Raw genomic sequence first — 8,584 nt, 5'->3', positions numbered from 1 at the left:
ACTAGACGCGCGAGCCGGAAGCGCCAGGCCGCTGCGCCCGCCGGGACGTGTAGTTCCCCGCCTCTCCGGGCCCGGACGGCTGCCTCACGCGCCGCACTTCCGAAACTACGACTTCCGGCGGCCTCGTCGTCGCGGGGCGGGAATGGCAGCTTCAGAATCACTCTATGTTGCAGATCGAAGTCTGATTGGCTTTGTTCATCCGTCACTCACCGTTAGGCTTCACGGACTCTGCATAAGGGAGGAGCTTCGGGTCTGGGTCTGAGAGACCGTCTCCAAAAGAAATGCCACGGTACGATTGGTGGAAACAACGCGGCAGGGAGCGGAGCGTACCAGCGGCGGGGGAAGGCGGGCACTTCCGCCAGGATAGCCCAATGACAGAGGTGGGACAGTTTCTATAAAAGCTTGAGCCTCGCCCGCCCCTGTCTTTTCGGGGTCGAGTCCGAGGGGGAAGAGGTTTGTTAATACGTTCGCCATGTGCTACGATCTTGGGACGAACTGAGCCACGAGCGTGGCTTTGAGGGCCGTCCGAACGCTGCAGGCCGGCCAGGTCCCTGGGCGTCCAGGCCTGGCCTACGCACCACTTTGTCCCTTAGCGTTTAAAGGTTTCTTCCCGAATCTCAGGCCCTCAGCTACCTGCAGGTAAGACTGGGCCGGGCTTGGGTTCCCTTATTCTCCCAGTCTGTGATGAATTGCTTTGACTTCTGACACCTCGTATGAAAACTGCACGTGCAGTCTGATTATTTAGCAAGACTGAGGCTTGAGGGTGCGCACTCCTGACGGGGAGCTGAGAGTGGAAACAGGTGTTGCCCGAAACGAAGGAGTGGGGACTTAATGTCTGTATTTTGGCGCTGACTTTCAGGTTTCGTCGCGAGCCGGCTGCAAGTTTTGAACCTAAGTAAACCTCAATCCGGAGGGCCTAGCGGTAAGGTGGGCGCTGTGTCTATTGAAGTGCTTAGCAATAAAGAAAGGTAGTGAGTTGATTCGGTTTTCTCTCAAGTGTCTTTATTTTCCTATTCTGGCACCCCAGAGGTCTGGCTGATCCACAGGCAATCTTGGAAAAGGGTACAGACATGAAAACGGAAGCTCGTTACCAGTGACTTTTCATCTCTTGGGATTGCCTTCTCCATTTCTGCCCGTGATTTTTTTTTTTTTTTTTTGAGACGGAGTTTTGCTCGTTTCCCAGGCGGGAGTGCGATGGCACAACCTCCACCTCAAGCGATTTTCCTGCCTGAGCCTCCCAAATGGCTGGAATTACAGGCGCCCACCACCACGCCCGGCTAATTTTGTATTTTTAGTAGAGACGGGGTTTCTCCGTGTTAGGCTGGTCTCAAACTCCTGACCTCAGGTGATCTGCCCACCTCAGCCTCCCAAAGTGCTGGGATCACAGGTGTGAGCCACCACGCCCAGTCAAATACTGTTTTTCATGCCTTTTGCCCCAGGGTGAGTCCAAAAAGGCTTTTGAGATTTGTGGAGGGAAGTTGACACCACCTAGGGTTCCCATGTGCCTCCTTAGGGAGGCAGCCATGGGCCATGGAGGAATGGTAGCCACACACCTGCTGAGGGTTCTGGGCCTTGCTGAGTCTCTCAAACTCCAGCATCCTGCTCTAGAAGTGGATTTTTTTCAACAGATGAGACAGACGCTCCAGAAAACACAACTTTATTCACTAGGACTGAAAACAAAGGCTTGTGCAATCAAAAGGCCAAGTTGAGTGCAAGGTGGAGCGTGCTCGGAAATCACAGACCTCACCTGTGGCCAGGCCGGGCTGGCAGTTGTTGTTTCTGGTGTTTTCTGTGATTTCCCACATTTTATCACAAGGCCACAGGCATCCTCCAAGGTCAGTGAGGAAGACCCTATTGCTGTTTGAGCCAGAGCCTCCTAGAGGGTGGGCCGGGAGCAGGCAGCTCCCAGGACACACAGATGCACGATGTGATTAGCAGTGAAGCCTTCTGTCCCAGGCGTGGGCAGGCGTCCTCCCTTAGCTGCCTGAGCATGTGCGGCTGAAGACATGGCTTTTCTAGGGTTAGGCACTGTGCGTGGTGCCAGCCCCAGCCCTCCCTCACCTGGACGTGCCCAGGAGGGGGCAGCAGAGCACCGTGGCAAAGTCTGTCCACTTGCCGCTCCCCGTCCCGTGCAGAAGACTGCTTTTCCGTGGCGGCCAGTGTGCGGCCACGGGCTCTCAGAAGCCTGCTTGTTGGGACTGTTGCTGGGAGGAGGAAGGGACAAGGCTTGACCTGGGGCTCCTGAAAACAGACACTCGGGCGTTGGCCACTGGGCAACAAAGTCAGAAGGGCCTGGAGACCCTCTGTCCAGCCTTCTAGGGACTGGACGGCTTCCTCCAGAGGACTGAGCTCAGCCAGGTTCAAGGGCGGCAGCAGGAGGCCCCTCGACCCTCCCTCTTAACGTAATCATGCAGCCGGAAGCGCGGCTCGCTGGGAGCCTTCATGGAGCGCTGCTTCAACTCCCTGCGGAGTGGGGGTGACAAGGGGACACGATGGCCTGGACTCTAATGAGGATTCAGGCCCTGGGCTGGGGGAGTCCTGGTGACTGGCAGGACTTACTTTGCTATGGCTGTGAAGGCCAAGTCCACGTTGAGGCCCGTCTTGGCGCTGGTCTCCATGAAGGGCAGTCCATACTCCTGTAAACAGCTGCTGCCAGCCAGGTGGTGGCCTGGCGGGGACAGCCTAGGCTCGCAGCCTCCAGGGGCACCCCCTCACCACCCCCCTGCCCTGACTCACCTTGGCCAGCTTCTCCCCGTCCTCCCTCTTCACCACACGCTCATGGGCAGAGTCCACCTGGCCCAGGCACAGGGTCTTGGTGAAAGCTGGCCCATGGTTGGCCCCTGCCCCCTCACCTGCCCTGCCCTGTGGCCCAGGTGAGGACAGCCGGGCCTCCCACCTTGTTCCCCAGCAGCATGAGCGCCACGTCGTGCTGGGCGTACTCGTGGATCTCGGTCAGCCAGGCCTGTGGGAGGCAGCAGACCAGGCTGGGGCTCCCTGCATGGCTTGCCCCATGCCCCAGAACTTTGGCCCTCCAGGTCACACTGTAGAGGGCACCTGTCTTTATCTTTTTTTTTTTTTTTTTTTTTTTGAGACAAGAGTCTCGCCCTGTTTCCCAGGCTGGAGTGCAATGGCTCCATCTCGACTCACTGCAGTCTCCATCTCCTGGGTTCAAGCTATTCTCCTGGGGTTCAGAGAACCTTGGGAGGGTTCAGCCTCCCAAGTGACTGGGATTACAGTTACGCACCACCACGCCCAGCTAATTTTTTGTATCTTTAGTAGAGACGGGGTTTCACCATGTTGATCAGGCTGGTCTCCAACTCCTGACCTCGTGATCCGCCCACCTCAGCCTCCCAAGGTGGTGGGATTACAGGTGTGAGCCACCATGCCCAGCCCATTTTATTTTTTTGAGACAGTTTTGCTCTGTTGTCCAGGCTGGAGTGCCGTAGCACAGTCTTGGCTCACTGCAACCTCAGTCTCCTGAGTAGCTGGGATTACAGGTGTGTGCCAAAACGCCCGGCTAATTTTTGTATTTTTAGTAGAGATGGGGTTTCCTCATGTTGGCCAGGCTGGTCTCGAACTCCTGACCTCAGGTGAGCCGCCATGCCTGGCCAGGATACCTGTCTTTAGAAGTGATAACCCCCCGTGTACCACATACAGAAGCCCACCTTACAGGTCCCTTACACAAAGCCTCCTGCTGAGGGAGCTGGAATGGCACTCAGGTCCACTTGGGCCACCTCCAGCCCAGAAGGCTGTCATTTCCCCCTCCCCTCTCTCAGCGGGGTCCTTTGGAACCCTGATGCCATCTACCAGAAGGAGGTTGGGATGGGTCAGGCCCTATCAGGGCCCTTTCACCCCACCAGGAAAGCCACTGACCTGGATGTTGTCAAAGGAGGCCTTGTTGGTGACATCGTAGAGCAGCAGCAGAGCTGGGGACAGAGGGCAGTGAGGACATCCACCATCACCTGCACCCTCAGGTGCTCAGACCCCCGCCCCAACCAGCCCAGGTACCCAGGGGCTCACCATGAGCATCCCGGTAGTAGGCATGGGTAACACTGCGGAACCGCTCCTGACCAGCTGTGTCCCACATCTGCAGCGACAGGCACTGGTCAGGCTGTCCAGCCCTTCCCTGGTGTCCCCTGTCCCCCAACTTGTCCTCTGCCAGTCACCTTACCTGCAGCTTCACCTTCACACCATCCACGTCCAGAACTTTGTTCTGAAACAGACAGAACCAGGCAGCTCTGGCATGGGCCCAGCCCAGCCTCTGGTCCCACTAGCTTCACTGCCTTCCTGTCCCCTGAGACCTCCCAGCTCCCAGGTCCAGCCCAGCCCCTGCAGGCTTCCCTTAAGCCAATTTGACCTCACCCACACCTGCAAGTGCAGGCCTCTCCCGGCAGCCTCTGCACTATTCCTGCTTAGAGCCTCTTACGCTGACTTATTTGAACTCATGACCCCACCAGGCCTCTTACTGACACTGCCTCGGTTTCCTCATCTGCAAATGGGTGCAGTAACTAACGAGCTGCAACGCCTCAGCCTTCCCAGTAGCTCTTTTTGCTAATTTGAAAGACTCAGGATGGCTTGAACCCAGAAGTTGGAGGTTGCAGTCCACCATGATCACCACTGCACTCCAGCCAGGGCGACAGAGTGAGACCCTGCTTCAAAAGAATAAAAAATTAAAGCCACTCCTTGCTGGGATTGTCAGGGCTGGGCCTGGGCCTGTCTGACCCAAGGCAGTAACCGCAGATCCCAGAACTGCCTGGCAGCGTCCCCAGCCGGGCCCTCCCAGTTAACGATTAGACGTAAGGCAGGGAGTGGTCTAGCCCCAGTCCCATCTGTTGGGGTGGGGGCGGGGGGCTTCAGCCGCAGTCTGAGGCCCTGGGCAGCTGGAACCTGTGCCACCTCCTTCAGCCTGAGCTCCTGCTGTCAGAGTGCTTCTGGGTCTCCCGGGAACCAGGCAGGGCCATCTGCTGGGCTGGGGAGGACACCGCCTTCCCTGGCACCCTGAACGAGAGTGCGAACCAAATGGCCTCACCTCTTACCACCTGCCCGAGAGCCAAGAGGGAGGTGGGGAAGTGGGGACCAGACAGGACTGGCCTGCCCCCCTCGGGCACTTCAGTCGTCACTCCATCCCAGAGGACTTGAGGGGACTTGGAACCCCCAGACTGGAGGGAGCCCCTTTTCCTGTCCCTGGAACAGCCCTTCCTCCATCCTCCCTCTAACTGGCTCTAATTAAAGGGTGAGAAAAATGCAAATTTAAGATTTGCTGAGGACAAGCCGGCACCTCAGCACGAGGAATTCCAGCTGGTGGGGGTGGGGGTGGGCGCTCCTCACCCAAGAGCAGGGTCCTCTCCCCTAGGCAAGCCCTGGAAACCCTCGCTCAGGCTCTGCAGGGAGCATGTGCTTCTAGGGCCCAGTAAGGCCTCTGTACCGAGGCAGCACTGCTGGCCCCAAGTGGACGTGGCCCTTGACTTCCTCTGACCCACCACCCTGTAGGCAACAGTGTCCGCCTCCCCCAAGGCACAGGATATGGTCCCTCGGTAATGCCAGCCCCTGGCATAGGGCAACTAACTATGCTTGTCGGGTGCAGCCACCAGCCCAGGTGTTGGAAGGTCGAGGCAGGCAGCTTCTGGGGTCCAGGCCTCGAGCCTGTTGGTACCATGGGGATCAGAGAGAACTTGCTGCTCGGGTACCGGCGGGACTCTGATGTGGGGCCAGGCCAGGGCCTCCACTCACCCGGAAGTCAATGCCTACGGTGGAGATGAAGGTCCCCGCCAGGAAAGCACCATCCTTGAATCGCACCAGCAGACAGGTCTTCCCCACACCCGAGTCCCCCACCAGCATGACCTAGGACAAGCAGGAGGGTTGGGGGGAGTCTGGTCTGCCCTGAGCTGGCCTGGTCAGAAGGGGGCTGCAGGTGAGGAGCAGGAGTGGAGGGAGGCAGCCCAGGCCTGCAGGCTCAGCGGGGCCAGGGACCCCGATGGGCTGGACACCCAGCGTATGCCTCTGAAAGGCTGGGGCTGCTCTGTCCTTCTGCACAGTGGCCGTCTCAGTCAGCGGGGAGTGAGGGCAGCCACCTGCATCCCGGACCCTCCCTAACGTCCATACCCCCACACGGTGGACAGCATCTGGGAGGGGAGCAGGTGGGGTGGCAGCTGGGTACCTCCTAAGAGACTTGGGGAGGCCTCTGCCGGGGGCTTCTCCACATCCCAGTAGGGACATGACCCCAGCAAGGCTCGAGGAATTTGCCCCATTAGGATCAGATCTCGATCTGAAGAGGGACCTGGGCCAAGTCTGAGGTTGGGGGGAGGTGCAAGTGGGCAGCAGTCAGGCCTTCTCCCCGAAACCTGTGCTACCAAACCCAAAATGGTCCTCCCAGCCCCCTGCCAAGTCCACACAGCCTCTGCCTTGGTCTGGAGTCCCAGGGTTCCCCATCCATCTGGCAAACCTCTTCCCCCCAGCAAAAAAAAAAAAAAAAAAAAAAGGCCCACAGCCGCTGGGTTGAGGGAGGGCAGCATACGGGAAATGGTGAGACCCCGGGCGGGGGCCAGGGCACTGGGGCGCGGGACCCCTTGTGCCACCATGCCGCCTGGGGGGTGGGGGACAGGCCCTGCCAGCTGTTGGATACCCCAGACCTGGGATGGACAGCTGTGTGTGCACGATGCACCGTGCAAGCCCCACGGGGTTCCTCCCGCGTCGGCTCCGCGCCCTGGGGCCGCGGGCCCTGCACCCCCTGTCCGACCCCCAACCCTTGGCTCAGGCCGGGCGCCACCTGCTGCGCTGGCCTGGGGGGCGGGTGCCTGGCTCACCTTGAAGGCGACGTCGTAGAAGTCGACACCGCCGCCAAGCGAGGGCCGGCCGGGCTGCAAGGGCCCGTTGGGCGGCGCGTCGGGGCCGGAAAGCGCAGTCCCGGAGCGCGCCGGTCGGGCCCCGTTGGCGGTGGGCAGCGTGGAGGCAGCGGGGGTGCTGGCCCCTTTGCTCTTGGGGGTCTTCTTCCTGGACATGGCGGGCGGGCGCTCAGTGTGCTCCCGCTGCAGCCGCCGTGCCCTGGGCCGTCCCGCACCCCGCGCCCGCCGAGCCCGACCCGGACCCGAACCCTTCCCCTGGCGGCGGCGGCGGCGGCGGCGGCGGCGGCGGCATCATCCCGGGCGCCCGGCTCGCGCCCCGCCCCCGCCGCTCCACGGGCGCGCAGCCACTCAGGCCCGGCCTCCCGCCGCCGCCGCCAATGCCGTGCGTGGGGCGGGGACATGCAAATACACCCCCGCTCGGCGGGGGGTGGGGGGCGGTCAGGAGGTCCGGGCCCCGTCCCGCCCCCGATCACGACCCCTGCCCGTGGCTGCCTTGGGGCCAGGAGCCAGCTGTGGGGTGACAGGCCTGGGCCAGGAGTCACCCCGGGATCCTGAATCCCCTCTGCTGGCTGCACACCACCCCAGCTCGGTGACCCCCAAACTGGACCGCCAGACCTGGGAGGAAGGGGTGTCCTGAGATGTGGGTGCTGGGGCAGAGGGCCCGCATGGACGGGCACCGCGGGCTTCTGTCTCCTTAGCCCCAGATGCCTAGCGCTTGGCCCGGTGCCCTTCACTGCTCCATCCCCTCCAGGGTAGGCGGGTCCAGGAAGCTCCAGCCCTGGCTTGGCAAACACACCAGGCTGCTGGGGCAGGCGCCCTGGGCTCAGGTGACAGCTGGTCACCGGGAGGACACAGCGGGCGCTGCGATCTCCCCCACAGCTTCTGCCTGCTGTGCACGCCTGGGGATCTGCGGGAAGGAGGAAGTCGCTGTGGCAGCCAGCCCCCGGCCCCCTGAGGGTCCCCTCCCACGGGACTCTGCCCTCAGGGTCTGAAAGGTGGAAAGCAGAGGCCCCTGCCCAGGCTGTGTGGCTGGCCCCTTGTCCTTCTCCTCCAGGTTCGGACCTTCAGGTGGCCAGGGCCGATTCTCCAAATCCTAAGCTGGTCCCTGGCAGACCCACCTCCCCAACCTGGGCTGCACTGGAGCTCTGTCACCCCCTCTCACAGAGAAGATGGGACTGCAGTGGTCAGAGCTGGGGCACAGTGGTCCAGAGGGGTGGTGTCCTTGGCATGCAGGGGCTTCTTGGTGTTTCTTTGGGAGCTGGAGAGATGACCCAGCTGTCCCCGGAGACCTGACAGCTGTCACCAGGACCTTGGGCCCTTCAGAGACCTGAGCCCTCCCAGCTGGCAGTGCCCAGAGTCCAAACAATTGGCTGCCTCTCGGGTCAGAGGCCTGAGAAAACACAGATGGGGGGCACTGCCCAGCAGAGTGATTCCTCGAGAGGGCCTGGCAGAGGCCGTGGAAGCCTGCCCTACAGCAAGCACTGTTGTGTGCCAGGCACACGACCTCTTCAAAGTTATCCTGCAAGGTGGGTACTGCCCTCAGTGTCCAGATGGGGAAACCGAGGCCCAGAAAGGCAAGGAGCCTGTGCAAGGTCAGCAGGCTAGGAAGGGCAGAGCTAGGATTTGTTCCTGTGATCTCCAGCTCCAGAGAACATAAACCGTCCCATGGCAGAAATCCCTGTAGACTTAATCCCCAGGAACCTGGCAGAGCTGGGGGTCAAACCCGGAAGCCCTCTCAGAAC

The 8,584-nt window shown here is 60.9% G+C and overlaps 1 protein-coding gene, 1 long non-coding RNA gene and 1 other non-coding gene across 4 annotated transcripts, besides 14 other annotated features; 2 read left to right on the top strand and 1 right to left on the bottom strand.

The window, feature by feature from the left end:
* SNHG19 (small nucleolar RNA host gene 19) lies at nucleotides 424-1,000 on the top strand. Its single transcript, NR_132114.1, has 2 exons — nucleotides 424-639; nucleotides 860-1,000. It is a non-coding gene; the product is annotated as a small nucleolar RNA host gene 19 (long non-coding RNA).
* Nucleotides 436-635: an enhancer, noted in NCBI's record as "active region_10255". NCBI's record gives its function as "activates an Ori minimal core promoter by ATAC-STARR-seq in GM12878 lymphoblastoid cells {active_cell/tissue: GM12878}" and the evidence as "EXISTENCE:reporter gene assay evidence [ECO:0000049][PMID:35858748]".
* SNORD60 (small nucleolar RNA, C/D box 60) lies at nucleotides 677-759 on the top strand. Its single transcript, NR_002736.1, has one exon. It is a non-coding gene; the product is annotated as a small nucleolar RNA, C/D box 60 (small nucleolar RNA).
* Nucleotides 1,001-1,616: 616 nt separating the features above from the next.
* Nucleotides 1,617-7,638, bottom strand: RAB26 (RAB26, member RAS oncogene family). 2 transcript variants are annotated; one of them, NM_001308053.1, is given in 10 exon segments: nucleotides 1,617-2,463; nucleotides 2,560-2,636; nucleotides 2,737-2,793; nucleotides 2,897-2,962; nucleotides 3,874-3,926; nucleotides 4,021-4,087; nucleotides 4,172-4,213; nucleotides 5,731-5,841; nucleotides 6,804-6,990; nucleotides 7,458-7,638. In NM_001308053.1, coding segments are annotated over 8 exon segments (573 nt in total). In that variant the 5' UTR covers nucleotides 5,839-5,841; nucleotides 6,804-6,990; nucleotides 7,458-7,638; the 3' UTR covers nucleotides 1,617-2,360.
* Nucleotides 4,297-4,848: an enhancer, noted in NCBI's record as "H3K27ac-H3K4me1 hESC enhancer chr16:2200935-2201486 (GRCh37/hg19 assembly coordinates)". NCBI's record gives its function as "activates a minimal SCP1, AML or CMV promoter by ChIP-STARR-seq in primed H9 embryonic stem cells {active_cell/tissue: H9 hESC(primed)}" and the evidence as "EXISTENCE:reporter gene assay evidence [ECO:0000049][PMID:30033119]".
* Nucleotides 4,849-5,398: an enhancer, noted in NCBI's record as "H3K27ac-H3K4me1 hESC enhancer chr16:2200385-2200934 (GRCh37/hg19 assembly coordinates)". NCBI's record gives its function as "activates a minimal SCP1, AML or CMV promoter by ChIP-STARR-seq in naive and primed H9 embryonic stem cells {active_cell/tissue: H9 hESC(naive and primed)}" and the evidence as "EXISTENCE:reporter gene assay evidence [ECO:0000049][PMID:30033119]".
* Nucleotides 5,399-5,950: an enhancer, noted in NCBI's record as "H3K27ac-H3K4me1 hESC enhancer chr16:2199833-2200384 (GRCh37/hg19 assembly coordinates)". NCBI's record gives its function as "activates a minimal SCP1, AML or CMV promoter by ChIP-STARR-seq in naive H9 embryonic stem cells {active_cell/tissue: H9 hESC(naive)}" and the evidence as "EXISTENCE:reporter gene assay evidence [ECO:0000049][PMID:30033119]".
* Nucleotides 5,951-6,502: an enhancer, noted in NCBI's record as "H3K27ac-H3K4me1 hESC enhancer chr16:2199281-2199832 (GRCh37/hg19 assembly coordinates)". NCBI's record gives its function as "activates a minimal SCP1, AML or CMV promoter by ChIP-STARR-seq in primed H9 embryonic stem cells {active_cell/tissue: H9 hESC(primed)}" and the evidence as "EXISTENCE:reporter gene assay evidence [ECO:0000049][PMID:30033119]".
* Nucleotides 6,503-7,054: an enhancer, noted in NCBI's record as "H3K4me1 hESC enhancer chr16:2198729-2199280 (GRCh37/hg19 assembly coordinates)". NCBI's record gives its function as "activates a minimal SCP1, AML or CMV promoter by ChIP-STARR-seq in naive and primed H9 embryonic stem cells {active_cell/tissue: H9 hESC(naive and primed)}" and the evidence as "EXISTENCE:reporter gene assay evidence [ECO:0000049][PMID:30033119]".
* Nucleotides 6,597-6,666: a silencer, noted in NCBI's record as "silent region_7032". NCBI's record gives its function as "represses an Ori minimal core promoter by ATAC-STARR-seq in GM12878 lymphoblastoid cells {active_cell/tissue: GM12878}" and the evidence as "EXISTENCE:reporter gene assay evidence [ECO:0000049][PMID:35858748]".
* Nucleotides 6,687-6,816: a silencer, noted in NCBI's record as "silent region_7031". NCBI's record gives its function as "represses an Ori minimal core promoter by ATAC-STARR-seq in GM12878 lymphoblastoid cells {active_cell/tissue: GM12878}" and the evidence as "EXISTENCE:reporter gene assay evidence [ECO:0000049][PMID:35858748]".
* Nucleotides 6,827-6,996: a silencer, noted in NCBI's record as "silent region_7030". NCBI's record gives its function as "represses an Ori minimal core promoter by ATAC-STARR-seq in GM12878 lymphoblastoid cells {active_cell/tissue: GM12878}" and the evidence as "EXISTENCE:reporter gene assay evidence [ECO:0000049][PMID:35858748]".
* Nucleotides 7,055-7,604: an enhancer, noted in NCBI's record as "H3K4me1 hESC enhancer chr16:2198179-2198728 (GRCh37/hg19 assembly coordinates)". NCBI's record gives its function as "activates a minimal SCP1, AML or CMV promoter by ChIP-STARR-seq in naive H9 embryonic stem cells {active_cell/tissue: H9 hESC(naive)}" and the evidence as "EXISTENCE:reporter gene assay evidence [ECO:0000049][PMID:30033119]".
* Nucleotides 7,087-7,176: a silencer, noted in NCBI's record as "silent region_7029". NCBI's record gives its function as "represses an Ori minimal core promoter by ATAC-STARR-seq in GM12878 lymphoblastoid cells {active_cell/tissue: GM12878}" and the evidence as "EXISTENCE:reporter gene assay evidence [ECO:0000049][PMID:35858748]".
* Nucleotides 7,187-7,456: a silencer, noted in NCBI's record as "silent region_7028". NCBI's record gives its function as "represses an Ori minimal core promoter by ATAC-STARR-seq in GM12878 lymphoblastoid cells {active_cell/tissue: GM12878}" and the evidence as "EXISTENCE:reporter gene assay evidence [ECO:0000049][PMID:35858748]".
* Nucleotides 7,467-7,516: a silencer, noted in NCBI's record as "silent region_7027". NCBI's record gives its function as "represses an Ori minimal core promoter by ATAC-STARR-seq in GM12878 lymphoblastoid cells {active_cell/tissue: GM12878}" and the evidence as "EXISTENCE:reporter gene assay evidence [ECO:0000049][PMID:35858748]".
* Nucleotides 7,605-8,156: an enhancer, noted in NCBI's record as "H3K4me1 hESC enhancer chr16:2197627-2198178 (GRCh37/hg19 assembly coordinates)". NCBI's record gives its function as "activates a minimal SCP1, AML or CMV promoter by ChIP-STARR-seq in naive and primed H9 embryonic stem cells {active_cell/tissue: H9 hESC(naive and primed)}" and the evidence as "EXISTENCE:reporter gene assay evidence [ECO:0000049][PMID:30033119]".

Source organism: Homo sapiens, chromosome 16 (assembly GCF_000001405.40).
Source record: "Homo sapiens chromosome 16, GRCh38.p14 Primary Assembly".
Classification (NCBI taxonomy): Eukaryota; Metazoa; Chordata; class Mammalia; order Primates; family Hominidae; genus Homo; species Homo sapiens.
Note: the sequence above shows the minus strand (reverse complement) of the source record. Positions and strands in the feature narration are given on the sequence as shown.